The sequence below is a fragment of the Homo sapiens genome, chromosome 1 (genome assembly GCF_000001405.40).
Source record: "Homo sapiens chromosome 1, GRCh38.p14 Primary Assembly".
In the NCBI taxonomy this organism is placed as follows: domain Eukaryota; kingdom Metazoa; phylum Chordata; class Mammalia; order Primates; family Hominidae; genus Homo; species Homo sapiens.
In genome coordinates this window covers 180,226,699-180,245,456 of record NC_000001.11, presented here as the reverse complement: position 1 = coordinate 180,245,456, position 18,758 = coordinate 180,226,699, and the positions used below count along the sequence as shown (strand labels likewise).

Sequence of the window (18,758 nt, the reverse complement as noted above, 5' to 3'; positions counted from 1 at the left end):
TGCAGGTACTCACTCAGCCACACCCCTGGTCTCCCTCCAGGGGCCATCAGGGGCCATCAGGGGCTGGCTGGAATCCCTGGAGGGCCCTGGAAGGTCTTGGTGAGGAGGTGACACATGAGCCCACCAGTCTATGAAGGGTGGATAGCCAGGAACTCCTTTGGTGTGACGCCCCCCAGTCTGAAGCAGGAGAAAGTAGGGGACAACTCAGGTCAGGAGGGTTATGAAGGGCAAGGGGGAGCGGGTTTCTCCAGCATGAGCTGAGTTCAGTGCCCTTGCGGTCTGCTGAGCAGAAGAAAGGCTGAGGGAGGAGGGGTCAGGGAGGACTGCCCAGGCCTCCTCTTGCAGGGGAGAGGAGGGGAGACCCAACCAGGAAGCCCTGCCAGCTCAGGGAAGTGAGTTAAGTACAAAGGGCATGCAGAGCCAGCAGGAATGTGTGAACAAGGCCTGCTGTGTGCCACAGGGCAGTGCTGTGTGCCCACTGAGCCCCGACAGCGGGGCACAGCCGTGGCAGGAGGCTGCTAGGCACAGCTGTGCAGGGAGGGCTTCATGCCCCAGTGGCACAGCCGCACCTCTGCCCTGGGAGTCAGGTCAGGGACTTCTTTGTGTGATCTGGATTTCCAGGAGCTGGACTCCCAGGGGGGCAATTAACTCTTTGAGAACCCAGATGAAGCACCATCTTCTCTGGCCCTTGGCATGCAGGCTGGGAGCTAGCCCAACTCCTTGCACCTCCCTTGGCTCCTGGGCAAAAGGGGCCACAGATTCCTACCTAATTGTTGTTTGGCCAGCCCTCTGAGAAGAGATTTGGCTATATTTCTCCTCCCAGCCACAAATACATGGGATGAGGGTGAGGATATATGCCCATAAAATTTATTTTGAGCAGGATATCTAGTGGGAGCCTTAATCTGATGAGTATTCAAGAGAGAATACATTAGGGCTAATGTATGCAGGGAATGGTGGGCAGGGGAGTTTTAGAGGCTTGTAAGCAGAGACAGCATCACATTGAGGAACAACACTAAAAGCAGACAGACAAGTCGTTTCAGCCTCGAGCTTGGAGGAAAGGATCCGCGCTGGGTCACTCTGGGCTGCCCAAATTAGAAGTCCTCACAGAGAGGCCTTGGGACCAAACCGGGGCCCTCTGGCTTGGCAAAAATGGAAGGGGCCTACCAAGGGTGCCCTTTAAGTTAAAAATTAAAAACCTTTTCTATTCCACTGTAGATGTTGACGGGGGGATTAAACAAAGATAATTTGGAAATGCTCTAAAAGATCTCCAATATACCAATCACAGTAATACACGCAGGCATCAGAAGCCTGTTATGAGCCACGTCAGGGCTTGAGTGTGTATTACGTCAGTGAGCCACTCTCAACGAGGAAGGAATTATCATCCCCATTTTACAGATGAGGAAACTGAGCCTTCGCGAGATCAGGCGATGTGCCCAAGGCTGACGGTGGGGGAGCCAGAATTCCAACCAATAGACTGTGCTGCTGCTTTCCTGAAGATGGACTAACCCAACCTGAGAGCTCAAGGGGCCTGAACCATCCCCTTATTTGGCTTGAGCCTGTCATTTTTTTAGATAGGAAATTGTGGCAGAGAGAGTCTCAACACGATTCCATGTACAGCAACAAGGGATTATAAGACCACTGGCCTCTTGAGCTCCCTAACAGCTGGGTAAATGGAAATGTTAGAGGCAAAAACTGAGATGACACAGGCATCTAGTGTGCATGTGTCATATGGGATGGATGCCTAATGTCCACAGGAGGGCGGGAAGCAGCAGCCTCTGTCCACAATCTCCTCCCCCAGCTACAAGGTGTCTGCCTGTTGATGGCGCCCATCCCTACTTGTGAGGATGTGGAGACCTGTGAACTCAGACCCCACACTCCAGGCAACATGGCCCCTATTTAATTATTTAGATTAGTAAAAAATATAAACTATCTGGAAATTTTTCAAAGAGCAACAACATAAGCCTCTTAATTAAACCTGTAATAAATTATTATTTTTACAGTTTAGAAAGGCTAAACAGGACAGAGTTTATCTAGGTTTCCTACCAGGAATAAAGTTCTGGTGCATGAACCGGATCTCCTCCTCCTGAGGGAGGAGGCGTCGAGGAAGACTACCTTGGCCTCCTCTTGCAGGGCAGAGGAGGGGAGAACTCCTCCCCTCCCCTCCCCTTACAGAGGTACAGTGGCTCACATCTGTAATCCTGGCACTTTAGGAGGACGAGACAGGCAGATCATTTGAGGCCGGGAGTTTGAGACCAGCCTGGCCAACATGGTGAAATCCCGTCTCTACTAAAAAAACAAAAATTAGCCAGGCATGGTGGTGCATGCCTATAATCCCAGCTACCCAGGAGGCTGAGGCATGAGAATCACTTGAACCCAGGAGGTGGAAATTGCAGTGAGCCCAGATAGCGCCCCTGCACTCCAGCCTGGATGACAGAGCAAAAAAATGAAAGAAAAGAAAGAAAGTTGTAACCAAAATTTCCAAGGGGCAAGACAATTTCCAAATCCCCAATAAGCTCAATGTATTTCATGCAGTATTTAGTATCTCAAAATTCCACATTAAAACTGCAATTTACATAGATGCTTGGAGTCACTAAAGACAAAATTTGATCTATTAATATCAACTCAATATGAGGAGTCGTTTCACTTAAAATGAAAGTTTTTCTCTTATCTGCCCATAAGCATTTCGTGACGATGCTCTCTGCTGGGGCTCTGCAGAGGGTAAACTCAGAAACAAAAAAGTAATGTCCCTGGAACAGCCAAAGAATCTTTGGAAATGCTAAACCACATAGAACAACACACTACCCATCTGCAAGGCCCGCCCACCAGAGCATTCCTAGTCATGCAGAGGGACATAGTCGAGGCATAGACCTAAGCCCACATGTACCTGCATGAACACATACAGACATCCTCACACGCACTCACATACACACTCAATATACACGCAGATATATATATATACACACAGATATATATACACGCCCACACCATACTTATATACATAGACATGCATATAACACAGACACGTACATACACATACAGAGAAACACAATCACAAATAAAGATACACCTTGAGACACATACATTCCTACATATACAAAGGCACATGCATGTACCAGTCACATGTACAGACAAATGTACATGCATATTCACATATACTCAAAGACACATACTCACATGTACACACACACACACAAACACATGCACTCACATCCTCATACATGGGATGAGGCATTGCCACTCTGGAAAAAAAAAGCCAATTCTGAAATCAAGCTCTGTCTGTGGAAAGGAAGGCTTAGCCGAATGAGGGAGCTGTCCAATCCTGAAGCAGTGGGGAGAGTAGGGAGTGAGTGAACTAGAAAAGCAGAAGGAAGTAGAAACATTGTTTCAAATACTTTTTTGGAAAGGGCTCAAAAATACTGGGAGATCAGCCTGGGCAACATAGTGAGACCCTGTCTCTACAGAAAAAAAAAAAATCGCCAGGCATAGTCGGGTGCACCTGTAGTCCCAGCTACTTGGCAGGCTGAGGCAAGAGGATCGCTTGAGCCCAGGAGTCCAAGGCTGCAGTGAGCCATGATTGCACTACTGCATTCCAGTCTGGGCAACAGAGTAAGACTCTGTCTCAAAAACAAAAACAAAACAAAAAGAAAAAAAACACAAAAACAAAAAAAATCAAAACAAAAATTTAAAAATATTGGGAGAATTTGAAAGTTTTCTGTTCTGATCAGAGTTTAGATCTGCAAATCTTTAGGTCTTCCAAATGCCAATAAATCCCAGATCTAGTCAGACCTGAGCTCAGATCCTAATTCCACCCTGTATGTGATCTTGGGCAAACTGCTTAATGTCTTCAAGCCTTGATTTTCATATCTATAAAATGGGGATAATCATACCACTCTTTCGAGGTAGCTGTGTTATGGCCACATCAGGTAATGCATGTAAAACACCGAGCCCTCACAGTGCCACTGTCCAAGGCCAGTGGTCAGCTCTCTCCTTCACTGTCTCATAGCCAGTTGCCAACAAGATGCATGTCTATAAAGTGTATCAAAATTACTTCATGCTTCATTATTTCCCAATATACCTTTTCCCTCCCTCAACCCCCTCCTAAACACTCAGAACTCTCCTCCACTCCCTTAATTCTAAAGCATTCCGAAGACACACACTCTTTTTTAATCAACGTGATCCTGGAGTATAAACAGCAGACAATGCAGTATTACAAGGGCTCAGTCTTTCTGGAATAAAGGGATCTGGCAGACTCTTTCCTCTGCAGAATGACAAAGTTGCCAAATCTTGGTCTCTCCGAACATGTGGATGGTAAAAATGAGGAGGTTGAGGCCACAACTGCCTGATCTTACTTCACTGTTGCTGTAATGTATCCAGGTGAGGGTAGATTGGGTTGAAATTGACGTTTGGGGCTTCTAGCATTTTTTCCTAGAGACAACTAAATGCCCAAAGGAAAAGAGACTATTTCTTACTTGATAAGAAATGGCTACAGACCCTTCCCCGGTAGCCATAATCTCCTTCTTCATCGAGGAAGCTTTTAAAACTCACAACGTGATAGCCAGCCCTCAAAGCACCTGAAGCATTGTGACAGAGGCACATTGGGCTTATTTTTCACAGTGGCCCATCAGAAACTGGATTCCATTTTTAAATCCCCAAATTCCTCCATTAATGGTTTCCGAAAGCTGGGAAGTGGAAGAGATCAAAAGGTCTGATGTGATCCATGGCAGACCAAACTGCCCACACCCCTCTGGTGAGAGATAATAAATATCATGCATTTGTATTCCCCACTCACGTTTCTTCATTTCCAAGAAACTGCTCTCAAGGAACCAGGGGCCACCATGAAACATTTCACAGAGCGTTTGTGTTTGTTTGATCGATTTTAATTATTTGAAAAATGGTGTTTTCTATCCCTTTCGTCACGGAAGATCAAAAGGGTAAAGGAAAAAAAAATTCCACTAAAGAGACTAATATGAGAGCCAACATATCCGACAATGACTTCTAAAATATATTTAAGAAAAGGCACCTTTCTGGGGAAAGGAGTCAGAATTTCAGATCTTTCCATTGGAATCATAATGCTGATGTGCTACTTAAATATTTTTAAAACTTTGTACTGATAGGAATGTTTAGGCCGGGCACGGTGGCTCACACCTGTAATCCCAGCACTTTGGGAGGCCAAGGTGAGAGGATTACTTGAACCCAGAAGTTCGAGACCAGTCTGGGCAACATAGTGAGCCCCTACCTCTATTATAATAATTTTAAAAGGGAATAATGTTTATTTAACGATGCTCTGAGACCAGATTAATATTTTGTAAAGTTTGTACTTTGATGTGCCAGCTTGATGTGCCTCCTGTGAGGCTTTTGCTTTTTAACTCCCTTTGCTTTTTAACTGCCTTCTGGATGAAGTGTTCTTTTTGTTTCATGCTTTGACTTGACAGCCTAATGCTCAGGACAAGGTTTTTCTTGCTCCTTTCGAGAAAAGGAGCTGGGTCCATGGGAGCCACTTCCGGGTCTCCCTGTTTGCAGACCCCACAGTATTCCCCCTCAGGTGGCCATCCTCTTGGGACAGCCAGCAGTGCTCCCAGGGGCGGCTGTGTCTGTGAAATGGGAGCTGTGATCCCAGTCTCTGAGTGCCTTAAGACCACCAGCACTCCAAACTTGGTCAAGTACTTTCAAATTGGCAAGCTCATTCCCTCCTCCCAGACACCCTGTGAAGCGGACATTCATTGTCTACGTTTAAAAGGTTCTGAGAATAAGGGGCTTCCCTACGGGTACACAGTTTGAGGCCGAATTAGGACTAAACCTTCTTTTACTCTGGGTCTGATGGCTTCCACCTGTGCTCAATCAAAGCCACCTCCATCTGGGATTTTTGCCCAAAACCTTTTTGCTGGTGATTTCCCTCCAGAAGTAAGCAGTTTTTTGAGCTCTGTCTCAAATAACATTTGGCCAATATGTATTTCCAAAAACGTTTAATTTTATTTATTTGTTAAGTTTCTTTACTGACTACTAACTGAAAGGAGACGCCAAATGGGGCTTTAAGGAATCACATATGCAACTGAAATAGTATGCAAATGTTTTTCTTGAAATTTTCCATTCCTTTCCCACATGTAAGGAAGAGAAAACAACAAATTGCAGACATTGCTGTTCTGTTGCCTCAGGTTCCCTGAGTAAGAAAGAAGGAAGATGGTTTTCTAAAGGCAGGCTTGGGAAATACTGTCAGTGGGGGGCTCATTGATTTAGTCGGGGAATAACTAATTCTAAAATGCATCAACAAGGTGAAGCTACAGGATATACCAAGCTGTGGCACACCTGCCTAAACACATACCTGAGTTCTGAAATGTCCAGGTCAAAGATTTATAACGGAGGTATAGTTACATTAAAATTAAATTAACTAAGAGGTCTATTACTGGATAAATATTTCAAAAATAAAACTTTCCATTTCAAAGTAGCCACCATCACCGCTGATGATAAAATCCTGTTTTCTGGTCACAATTCCCCTTTTAAATCACCTGGTAATTGTGACCAAAGGAAGAAGGCCTGATTCATCCATGCAGTCCCCACGCAGGGAAAACCTGAGGCCCACGACTCAGTTTTCCATGACAAATCTGGTGTGTGCCGCCCCCCAACCCTGGCTCTTTGTCATTAAAGAACATTCATTTTTGTTGAACCGTTTATAGTTCTCGTTTTTATATTTTCACTTATTCTAAATCAGCGTATCTTGAAGAGACAATAACAGAATTTTCCAAAATGTTTTTATAAAATTCCTCTTAAGGGATTTTCACAACCTAGTAATAATCACATAACACAGCTAAAGCACAAAATTCCAACATTAATTCTTTAAAACATAAAGAGAAAAGGCACATTGAACATCAATGATGACAGCAGCATTAAAGAAAGAGAGCTGGGCCAGCCACAAAAATATTAGAAAAATTCTAATTTTAAAAATTAGCATCGCATTGAAGGTAAATCATATTCTCTATCATCATATGCACTGACATGTTTTAAAATGCATCAGTGTACTCACGTCTTTTTATCTAATTTCTAGTTTTTTCTAGTTTGTCTTGACAAATGACTAGCAACCAGAAAAAAAGTCAGAAAATCCTTCTTACATCAGAAATGATCACACCTGAAGCTGTCCTTTCCCTTCACTTGCTTTCCGGAATCCTTCCCACTTTTACTGTTTGCTTTATTTGGTGGCTTGGGGTGCCTTTGAAAATCTCCTTTGTTCTTTTTCGGCTTAGTCAAAAATAGAAACCTCTTCAATAAAAGAACAAATTCAAAAGTAAACTGGAGATAATTTCGATGTTATCATTTTAAGGCTGTAATTTGGATATTTTAACATAAGGAGTCGAGTAACAAATGAAATACACAATGTAAATATGTATTTGCAGGGATTATCTCCTAGGTGATATATTGTCACGTAATTAGTATTCTTCAGTAGGATATCATATATCTCAGTAATTGCAAATAAAACAGAAAATTACATTAAGCAAATCCATGTTTGTGTATGGAAATGTTGTAGACACGTCTATTTCCACTCCATTTTCACATTTAATCATTGCTAAATCTCTACAATGTATTTTTCTAATGTCTCACTCTGTAACAGTATTCCATATGTTTGGCAATCTTTCCCTCATAGCAAGAAACTTTCAATTAATTTGGCTGCAAGTTTTGTCTCTATTAAGCTATTCCCAGAACCAATCTCTTAACCCCCTAACATCATAATTAAAGCAAATTATACTTTAAAGACATGTGGGGGTGAGGTACTGCAGTTAAACATCTGTGGCTAGACCCAGACTGACAGAGGGAACAGGGTGGGGAGATCTGAGAAAAGAAATCCACCAAAATTACAGCAGGAGGTAGGACTCACCTCCCAAGACGACTTTCCAGTCAGCCGCTCATACAGTTAACCCCAAAGTCCATTTTCCAAGGGAGAATCCATTTCATTTTCACCAATTAAACCCAACCTGTCCACCTACCCCCAAAAGCAATGCCTCAAAATGGTTGACTTGTGCTCCATTTTGATCAGGGATCCTATAAAATTGAGGACTAAATAAGGTAAAACCTCACAGTGGCATCTAATTTTAGTTGATTTCTTCCTACCACAGACAATAAGAGCCCAGCTCCAGGGCGGCTTCTGTCCTATACCCAGCACCTGTGCTTCCCTCCCAGGGCGCCTAGAAAGAGAGATGGCTCCACCACGGTGCAGCCTGCTGGACACACGACCGCCCTCCTCCCCGCCCCCCCCGCCGAGTAAAACCCCTGTGTCGTGAATTCCTGCACTATCCCATGTTTCTCCCTGCAAAGATTTTGCAAAGGAAGGAAGGGATAGACAGAAGAAATTGGGGGAACAGGGGAAGGAGAAGGAGGGAGGAAGAAAGAGAAATTCAAGCCACCAGACCGCGATGGAATTTTACTAAAAGCAGTGGACCCTATTTGCCCACATCTCTGTTATGGGCATTGTTAACACTCATTCCAGGAAGGGAGAAAGGCAAAACATTGTTACAAAAGTAAAATCGCCTCAACGGCACCCCAGCCAGCCCTCTCCAAATTCAGCCGTCTATGCAGCCATGTATTTGGTGCTGCCACAGCAAACTGCTGCTTCAGTCTGTCTCCAACCGTGGGTTTCTCAAAGTGGGTAATATTACTCCTTTTGTCCTCTCTTCAGCTAAACTGGTTCCAAGTCCCTATGCGTCCCAAAGCTCCTCAGCTCTATTCCTGAAAAATTTCCTTAATTGAAAGAAAAGGCACAAGGTCCCTTTATCCGATTCCACCTACCCGCCCCCCATCCACAACTCTTCAATAGGAAGAGGACACAAGTTTCCCAGCCAGAGAAATCCACTAAATACCCACCATTCCCGTCCAAAACAAGAAGCTCAAAGCAGATTTCATAACAAGGTAATAGAAAGAACAGTTAATTCCTGTTAACTAATTTTCCATCCCTGCAGGACTGCAAGCCCCATCCTCCTTCCCCCGGCTCCTCCTCTCCTCCCAGCACTGGGGTCTCTGGCTTCAGTCTACTAATGTGGATGCTAAGTAATCACTAATTGACTGTAACGCAGAGTGAAAGGGCATTAAAATCCGAGGCAACTGGGAAGTTAGGACAATGCAAATATTTAGGACTTGAGGCTGTCTACACCTGGCCAGCGGGGTCATCGGGTCACTGTTCAAAATACAAGATGCCCCTGTGGCCCAAGTTTTTGTCTACTCAATGGAAAGAAATTGCTTTGCTGGTTTCCCGGCTCTCCCACCCCCACCCCACCTCTAGGAGCACTCGATTTTTAAAAATGGACCCTGGTATTTGCAGCCCTGTAGGCGGTCTCCGAGACGTCTTGAGGGCTCGCGTTACCCTAATCCTCACAGCATTTAGTCTACATTCTTGCCTTAACCCCCCTTTGTTTTTGGCGTGTCAAGAGGCAGGTGCAGATACACCTAGCTTCGGTCGTCCTTCCTTCAACTTCCTGCTGCTCCCGGTTTTATCCCTTCACGGCTTTTCTAGTAATTCATTTCCTTTTTCATTAGTTTCACCCTTCGGATCTCTTTAAAAGACACGTTTGCCCCACTGTCTAAAAATAATAAGGTCCCATCCTGCACAAAGCAAACCCCCTGAGACACAGGGATGCGCTCGGTCCCAGTCCAGCCGCGGCCTCTCGTGCGGTGAGTGCACCCGGTGGCCCGCGCCACCTCGCCTTCCCCGGCGGCGCACAGTGCCGCCAACTCCCTTCCCTGGTCGATTTTAATTGACATCCTCAGCCGCCTAGGTAGAGACTCTGTCTCTCTGGAGCCTGACACGTTTCCAGCGCTCGTCAAGGTCCACTAAGCTGCGGAACCGAGTGGGGAGCCGAGGCTCGAACACCCGCAGAACGCGCGGGCCGGGCACACCCGCCGGCGGCCTCCCCGCTCCGAAGAGGAGGAGCCCCTTCGAAAATGGGAGCATCGCTTTCCCAGGGTTAAACAGTCACATTAGACTCGAGCCGCCAGGGTTGGGGTTTAATTTTGTCATTCCAAATGCTTGGAACGAAATGGGTCTGGAGAGGAAGAGAGGTTTTCACCCGGCCTCCTCCTAATGGGCGCGCCGTCCGCACTCGCGCCTGCCGCGCCTATCCTTGCTGGAAAAGTCCCTGCCACCACTCTAAAGGGCAGCAAAGGGGTCCCAGGCCTGGCTAATTCCAGCTCAGTCGGACCTCTGGGCTACCTGAGATAATAAGCTCCGAAAACGGGCGCGAACCTCTGGGCGGATGGACTGCAAGGGCCAAGGCGCAGGAACCTCTATTGCAGCGCACCGGGGAGAGAGAGGCGGTCCCTCCCTTGTCCCCTTCTGGGCTACGACCTTTACCCACCGCTGCGGGACGCAGTAAGCGCAAAGCCGGCTACCCGCGAAGGGCCGGCCGCCCTGTCCACATCTACCTCCACCGGCGAGTCCCCCAAAACCCAGAGCACGCCCGGGATTCCCGGGCGAGTGCCCAGGATCGTGAGCCGCCCATGGGTGCGCAGCAAACGCTCATTTAAAGAATTCATCGTCTGTTCCCCGGGCCACCCAGGCCGGCATCTGCCCGCGGGGCGGAGGAGCCCTGCCCCGGTCGTAGCGAGGTCATGTGGGTCGCGCTCCCAGACCCTAGGACGCCACTCCTGCTCAGCCCTGCGTAGCCCCGCCTAGCTCTGGTTTTCCACGAGCCCGGACCTCGGCCAAGAGAGGAAATAAACTTGAGTTAGGTCCTGCTTCTTCTCAGTCCCGACTTTACGACTTCCCGGGACACTGCGGACTGCTCAATGCAGACCTTTGCCCCTCACCTGCTGCACCTGCGTGCTCCGTGTCCGGCTTTAACAGTTAATTCCGCATGCGGAGCGCACTGGGACAGCGGCTTTCCAAGCTTCCCTCCGTGCTAACGGCCCTCTCAGATAACAAGGCCCTGGAAAGGAGGAGGCCGGAGCCCTCTCGCCCCTTGGGAGTCCTCAGCCATCCGCTGTCCCAAGCGGGGCGCTGCCGCGCTTACCCGGGTTTCTCCAAACTCCCTTCTTTGTGGTACACAGCTCTGGCCAGGGGCTGGAACGGGATCCTAGCAGTTAGGACATCGGAACCCCCAACCCATCAGGCCCGAATCGGCCGGCGGGGACAGCTGACCTCATCTGTAAAAATTGTCTCCTGCCTGAGAATATATTCTCGCGACGCAGGGAGGGAGGTCTATGGTGCCTACAGCTGCTATATCGGAATGTTCGGAATATGATAGAATCTCAATCTATTATATATATATATATATATATATATATATATATATATATATATATATATATAATTTGTGTGTGTTGTGTGTGTCTGTTTCTCGCACTAGGAGACAAGGCAGGAATGGAAAGAAGAGCGAACAGCACCAGCGTTTGAGTGAACTCCTGTCTTGGACAGTGAATCCATCTCACCCCCTTAAGAAATGTCCTGCAAGAAGGACAGTCAACAACCCCGGGGACTCGGATCTGCAACTCGACCTGCGCTGGGACATTACCCCACGCACCCCGGAGGAGCCCCAGGAGAGGAAGTCCCAGGGAAAACCTTTACCCCGACCCTACCAAACACAAAATAAAATACCTTTTTCCTACAGCTTCGGGGTTCGCCAGAGCTTGCCGGAAGCATTTTAGGAGACAAGGAGGGGGACAGAGACCCCCAGGCCTGCATTCCAATTACCACCCCCAGCGGAGACCCCGCGGGGCTCCTCCTTCTCCCGTGCGGGCTGCCCTCTCTCCCGCCAGCGATCCGGGCGGCGGGCTTCCGTCGTCCTTTCCCTCGGTGCCTGGGGAGACTACATGGCAGATGGGTCAAAACCGAGGCGGATAAAACGCCCCACCTTCCTATATGCCTCGCTCTTTTCCGCGTCTCCTCAGAGGGCATGGCCGGCCAGCAGGGCCCCGACGCGTGGAGGGACTGCTGAGGTCCGCGGGGAGAGTTTTGGAGGCGGCTCGGAAGGCTCTCGCCGTACCCGTACCCAACACGGCCCCGGGTCAGGCGCTGTGAGGATTCGGATCTCGACGTCCCTACAGCCCGGAGGGAGGTGGCGGGGACGAGCTGTCGGTGCGGGCCGTAGGGACAGCTGTAGGGCTGTCGGAGCGACGAGGCCCGCACCGGGGGCCGCGCGACCAAGGCGCGGTAAAAAACCAGGAGGGCTACGGCGCGAACTGCTAAGTCCGCACGGGAGCCTGCGGGGGCGGGAGGCCGGGACAGAGTGGCGAGGAAGAGGCCAAGTCTGGAGCAAGACCAGAGATGAGAGAGAAATTATTACATCATTTGGAAACGTTTTCCTAAAGGGTATGCCCCTCACCCATCCCCAAATAAGCAAAGGAATAGTCCAGCTGCCGCCGAAATAAGCTGGATTTAAATCACTTCTTCTAAAATGCCCCTAGAGGGGAGGGCACTAGAGGCACCGAGCTTGGGGACACCTAGACCTGCGTCCCCAAGTGCTCCATTCGTGGTGACTCCATGTGATGAAGAGGCAAACATGTCTGTGTTGAGAGGGAAACCCTTCTAGTTGGCGACTGGAGGGACCCCTGTGGGAGAGCGTTTCTTTTGTCTCCCCTCCTCTAGGGTTTAAGAGCCTACTGTCCCGGAAGGCCCAAGGGTGTGCCCCACAACCCCTCGAGCTTCCCCCCTTCTTAGGCCACTGGGCCCAGTCCCAAGAAAACTAATAGTTGTGTATATGTGGGTGATGGGGACCTATCCCGCGGTCCCAGCACCAACAGCCTAACAGCCAGAGGCCAGATGTGCTGCAAGGGAGGCTACAATCCATTCACATTCCAAGAGGAAATAAAAGCTGGATCCAGAAGTCTTCAGGGAGTGGGCCCCTCAATTTTGGCCGATGCCTCCTCCAACCAAGGTCACGAAACTCGGACAAAGGGAGGACTGACCACCCCCTCTAGATTAGACATTGCCTCCCTGGGCCACCCTGGGGGGGTGGGTGTGGAAGTTCCTTTGTACACCTCAAGTTTTCCACAGTGTGAACCTAGACTCAGCCTTGGCAAACTGTAGCTCTGAAGGTGAGTTCTGGGCATTTTAGCAAAGCGACTCCCTGACGTCGAACATCAAAGTTGTCTCTGAACAGGGAAGGCAAAAAGTGAGACAATCAGAGTGTCACTCATCACAAGAAAGGCCGTCAGAGCAGAGACCATCGTCCTTCATTGGGGTCCCAACAGACAGGTCACCTACGGACCACAGCCATGAAAGCACAGACGTACTGGGTACCAAGGACACTAGTAACACACACACACCCTTCCCCCACTCATGCAGTCTCCTCACTCGCGCAGAGCTACAAGCAGCTTAAGGACTCGGTGCACCTTTGCAGGGTTTCTGTTTCCGTCTTTGCAGGGGCTGAGAACCCACTCTGTCCCTGCCTGTGTGCGGGGTGTGGGGCGTAGTGAATCTCCAATGCCTTCTATGAAAACATCTTAGCGGTAAACTCCCCAAGGCTCAACACAGACGTGGAACTGATTGCCGGCAGTTGACACGAAAACACTCAAAGAATAACTGTAGAATACAGCCAAGAAACAATCTAAATAGGCTTGGATGAAGCTATTCTTTTCTAGTCCCTTCTCAAAAACTTCCCAGGGAAGCCTACGGTACGCCTGCCCTCCGAAGGATCGCCGGACAGAAACCCTGCCATGGAAACCCGAGGCGCAGGAGGGCGCGCTCGTGCGCCCTAGTTTGTAGGTAGTCACCATCCCTGGATGAGCCGGCCCTTACTTAAAGTAAACCCCGAAGATGTAGCTACCGCACCACTAAAGAAGTCGCAGGCGGAAGTACAACCCCTTGGCAAGCGGAGCGAGGAACTCCTTGGTCTCTCCAGGGTGCCCGGGGCGCCCTGCTGAGCGTGCAAGCCACAGGGGCAGGACTCTCCCGGCGCTTGTCGCGCGCGCGCGCGCGCGCGCGCGACGACTGGGCACCTGTTCTGGCCTCTGCACAGATTCCCTCTCGGGGACTCTCGCTCAGGAGTGAAGCACAGAGACGGATTCCCTTCGGGAAAATCTCTGCGCGCGCACACCCATACACACAGAGAGAGACTTGGGGATAAACACGCCGCGAGCTCCGGCTGTCTCGCTAATTTCGGGCGCGGGAAGAAAGCGGGCGGGCAGGCTAGCAAAGCTCCCACACACCCCCGTCTCTACCCCTCCAAACCCGAGCCACCCTGAGCACCTGCCCTCGCGTGCGCAAAGGCTGAACCCGGAATTCACAACTTGCGGTCGCTTCTCCCTCCCCTGCATTCCTAGGCTAGCTGGAATGCGCGAGCAGATTCCCTCACAAGGAGCAGTCAGTTTCCCGCGGCGCACGCGGCGGGCGCCGCGGGCAGTAGCGGCTGGGGACTCACCCGGCACGCACGCCCGGGGCGCGGGCCGCAGGGACTAAGAGTGTGGCCGGGGCTTCTCCGCCGCCAGCCCCAGGGGCGAGAGACGCGCTCTCCAACTTCCCGCCAGCTGGGGTGAAGTTGCACTAGCGGTCCTGCAAGCGCTGACCGTCACGCCGGCGAAAGAAGATTTGTGGGGACCACCCTCGCCCTCAGGCCTGGCCTACAGCTCGTACCCCTGGGTGTCCCCAAACAGCACTCTCCCCAGCGTTCCAAGAAAAGCCTTGGGCTGGAGATGCGGGGTTCGGTACTCGGCTCGCCTCAAGCATGATCCAGGAGGCGTTCACATTCGGCCCCAAACAGCCAAGAGCCTGGCCCCCTCAAACGCACTCTGGCTGGTGCCCCTGCCCTGTGACCGCCTCTGCGCCCCGGCCGCCAGCCCCTCCCGGCCCCTGAGCGGCGTCCGGCCCGCCCCGCAGCGGCTGAGGCTGCTAGCTGTCTTGTTAGAATTAAATCAGCGAGAAAGGGGGGTGTCTTACGTTGCATCGGCACACCTAGCATCTCCGGGAGCCCCTTGACAGCCCCTTCCGCGGGGACAGTCGCACTCTGCATCATCTCGGAGCGAAAGCCAGCGAGTCGCAGTCTACGGAGATCTCTCGCTCTCTCGCTCTAGCTCGATTCAGAAATTTCAAAATAATAATTAAAACCCCAAGCAGGCCGCTGGAGTCACGGTGGAAGCCGGGCCCTCCGCTTCTCAGGGAGGACTCCACAGGCTGGCCGGCCCCCTCCCCCCGCCAGTCCCCAGTCTGTTTCCAGTCCCTTTGATCTCGCTCTCCGGGGTTGGTGCACATCCCAGGTTGAGACGCTGTTGCTGCAGCTCTGGCTTTTTTCCTCTTCCCTCCCCCGCCCGCTCCTTCCCCCTCCCCCTCCACCCTTCGCGTGCCGGCCGCCCGGGAGGCCGCGGTCACCCGGGCGTTTTGATTCATTCACACTGCAGGAGCGGCCGTGACGTCGCTTTCCGCAGGGAGGCCCGCCCTTCGGCACATCCCCCAACCCGGCGGCGGGCAGCCGACCCCGGAGGGAGTGGGGGTCCCGGCGCCCCGAGTGAGGCCGGCGGGGCGGAGGGGGGCGGGGCGGCAGGGAGCGGGGCGGGGCCTCGCAAGCCGGCACCCCCCCCCCCTCCCCGCCTCCGCCTCCGCCTCCGCCCAGCCGTGGCGGGCTCGCGCCCTGGGTATAAATTCTGCTGATGGCCTGCCGCGGCAGCAGGTGGTCGGAGACGGCGGCGCCCTGGGTTTGCGGGTCTTCGTGGGTTCCAAGCCCGCGCGGCTCGTGTCCTCCTCACTCCTCCGTTCGGACCCAGGGGCGGGGCGGAGCCGAGCCGGGGCCGAGCGGGGCAGGCGGTCCGGAGGCCGGGGACGGGGCTGCGTCGCTGTGTCTTCGCCTTGCGCGCTCTCGGTCCCCGGCTTCGCTCCGCCGGACGGAGCGCGCTCCGTAACCGATGACTCCATCTATCTTCCTCCTCCTCTTTCCCCTGGCCAATTCCTTTCCTGCCGGCACTTCCCAGCCCCTGCTCTCTCTCCCCCGCGTCTGGCTGAGGCTGGGCCAAGGGACAGCCCGTACTCGGCCCGGAACGCGCGAGTCACGCGGCGGGCGGCGCCGGCCCGGGCTGGGGAAGGGGACCAGGGGCTGTGCGCGGAGGTGGCGGGACGCAGGCCCCCCGCGCGCGTCCCCGCAGACCGCGGCCTGCAGCCGGAGTCCGCACTTGCCTCCAGTTCCGCAGGGTAGGGGGCCCAAACCTCCCCGCGGCGGGGCCTCCCCGGCCGCCCTGCCACCAGTCGTCCAGCTCGGCCCTGTCTTAGGTCCCTAGAGCCCGCTCTGCCTCTCCGGCTGCCACCGCGGGTGCTTTGAACCATCCGCGACCTCGTGCGTGCAGGGCGGCAGTGAGCACACGGACGCCGGGGTTAACCAGCGAAAGGGCTTGCCATGCTTACTGTATTTACGAGATGCATGGACAGGTAGAGAAACGCTTAAAACAAATTCTCCTCAACGCGAGTTTCTGGCAGAAATACAACAGAAGGCCCAACGCTGGGACGAGGTCTCCTCTGACGCTCCATCAGGCGCTCGACGCCTCCGGGCTGCAGGCGCGGGAAGCCCACCCCGTCTGCCCCAAGACCCAGCCGCTCTCCTGCCCCCAGCCCCCACGGCATTTCCTTCCAGAAATGCAGACATACGTGTCCTTCCAGCCTAGTGGGGTTCAGCTTAGGCGGGAAGGGGGACTGTGTGCCCTCCCCAGCCTTCCAGAACCTTCCCTGCTGTTTCCCCTGGTGTCATCTCCAAACAAGGGACACCTGCTCACCTTTAAGGGAGGAGCATGGGGCGGGGGAGAATGGCCTGGTCGTCTGCGCTGCTTAGAATTTGTCTCCAATGAGGTCACAGTGACTTTTGTGTGTCCTGGTACTGGGTTGGCATCATCTCTTCCCTTGTTTACCTGCGAGGTGACTCCGCGCGCGAGACAATATACACAAGAAGAAAAAAGCAAAAGAACCCAGTGACATTTTTAGTGTTTACCAAAATGTGTTCTATAGAAATATAACTAGTAAGCAAACACGGGGAAACGCCAGCCTCATTTGCAGTGAAAAACACGCAAGACAAAACAACACGTGCACAGCTTTTTCTGTTTGTGAGATGCCCGACGCGCGGGAGGGGCATCCTAGAGTTCAGGACTGGCGAAAGGGGCTTGGACACTCACCAATACTGCTGGGTGCTTATAAACTCTTAACATCCGTTTGGAAAGAAATTTGGCAATATGTATCAAACTCATAAATTTTTCATACCCTTTAGTTTATGTAGTACTTTTGAATGTCTGTTCCACGGAAATAATCTAGAATTTTTTATAAAAGTTTCATGCGTGAAAATGTTTATTACAGTATTATGTTTTGGAGAAAAATAACCTAAATAGCCAACAAAAGAAAAGTGGCTTAGGGAAGTAGATTAAATTGTTTGGTAGTATGTTATGGAATCATGGAAACCAATTATGAAACCCAATAACATGGGGATGCTTGTGAAATACTATTTTTTTTAAAAGCACAATGCAATAGCATAGGATTATAAATATGTAAAAATCTTAGTCAAATGTAAGGGCAATGATAATACCCATTGTTGGTTAGGCTGTGGGGAAATTAGAAAACAATTTCCTAGTGGGGATTGCAAAGAGGGGAAATGTCTTCTCAGGACGTTTTGGCTACAAATGTGATGCATTTGACCCAATCTCTATAGAAATTTATCCAAAGAAAATAATCAAGAATGTTTGTGAAGATGTAGTTACAAGGATGTTTATAAGGTTTTTAAAAGGGAAAACCTAAATATCCAACAATAGGGGATAGTAAATAAGTTACAGTAAATTATTAAGTAAAATGGAATGTTATGAAGTCTTAGAAATAATACAACAGAAGAATATTTAATGTAGAAAAGGGTTTGAGATTTATTAGGAAATGTGAAAAAAGAATATGAAGCGGTATGAACTTCAGGAACTTTTCTTAAAAAAAGCATAAACACTGTACACTTAAAAATGGTAAAGATGGTAAATTATATGTATATTTTACCTCAATAAAAAATTGTTTAGGAGGAGTAAAAAAAATGCCAAAGTGTAAAAGTGGTTATCTGTGCAGTGGATATTTTATTTTATTCTCTTCGCTTTTTTCAGTTTTCTCAATGAGCACATTATTTTATAAAGCAGAAAAAAACTAATAAAATGCTTTTTAAAATATTAGGGAAAAGGTAAGGAAAGATACCAAAATACTATTCAAAAGAATATTTGGAAAAAGGTATATTAGGGAGATGTATTATGGAATTTTTTCCTTTTTCTCTTTTCCAGATTTTCTGTAAAGTGATTATTTTTCAGTAACATTAGTAAAAGATAACATTCAAATGCAGTGAATGTAAAGCATATATAGTAATTACTTTTATAATTTAAAATTATATTTTAAAAATGCTCTCTGCAGCTCCTGCTTCTCTGATTTGAACCTGCTGGGGTCCTGCCCTTTTCCCATTGCATGTCACTAGCCTGTCAGTAGGTGAGGAACAGCCTTACTGTGGTGGGGACTTATCTCTGCCCAAGACTGATTCAGGGGATACCACTTTCACCTGTGTCGTTTGGCAGACAAGCCCAGGAAAGTCAGCTTAGCTCTCAGTTCTTGCACCTGTAAGCAGCAGCTCCAACATACCTTGCACCCCCATGCCCACACACACAGTGCAGCTCAGCCAATAAATGCCCTTTCCACATTCTGAGGCTTTTTTTTCTTTCTTTCTTTTTTTTTTTTTTTGAGACGGAGTCTCGCTCTGTCGCCCAAGCTGGAGTGCAGTGGCGTGATCTCAGCCCACTGCAAGCTCCACCTCCTCCCGGGTTCACGCTATTCTGCCTCAGCCTCCCGAGCAGCTGGGATTACA

The 18,758-nt window shown here is 50.2% G+C and overlaps 1 protein-coding gene across 3 annotated transcripts in view, besides 2 other annotated features; it reads right to left on the bottom strand.

The window, feature by feature from the left end:
• LHX4 (LIM homeobox 4) overlaps nt 1-17,082 on the bottom strand; it is a 50,610-nt gene extending 33,528 nt beyond the window's left edge. Inside the window, exon 1 of one of the 3 annotated variants that reach the window (XM_011510105.3) lies at nt 16,544-17,082. Coding sequence is in view for 1 of the 3 variants with exons in the window: in NM_033343.4 (NP_203129.1) it covers nt 14,852-14,927 (76 nt within the window). In the remaining 2 variants the exon portion in view is untranslated. Of the gene's footprint in view, nt 1-14,851; nt 15,194-16,303; nt 16,462-16,543 lie in introns of those variants that run through there. The other 2 variants (XM_011510106.4, NM_033343.4) reach the window with 2 other exon arrangements.
• Nucleotides 344-1,091: an enhancer, noted in NCBI's record as "H3K27ac-H3K4me1 hESC enhancer chr1:180213501-180214248 (GRCh37/hg19 assembly coordinates)". NCBI's record gives its function as "activates a minimal SCP1, AML or CMV promoter by ChIP-STARR-seq in naive H9 embryonic stem cells {active_cell/tissue: H9 hESC(naive)}" and the evidence as "EXISTENCE:reporter gene assay evidence [ECO:0000049][PMID:30033119]".
• Nucleotides 15,623-15,752: a silencer, noted in NCBI's record as "silent region_1593". NCBI's record gives its function as "represses an Ori minimal core promoter by ATAC-STARR-seq in GM12878 lymphoblastoid cells {active_cell/tissue: GM12878}" and the evidence as "EXISTENCE:reporter gene assay evidence [ECO:0000049][PMID:35858748]".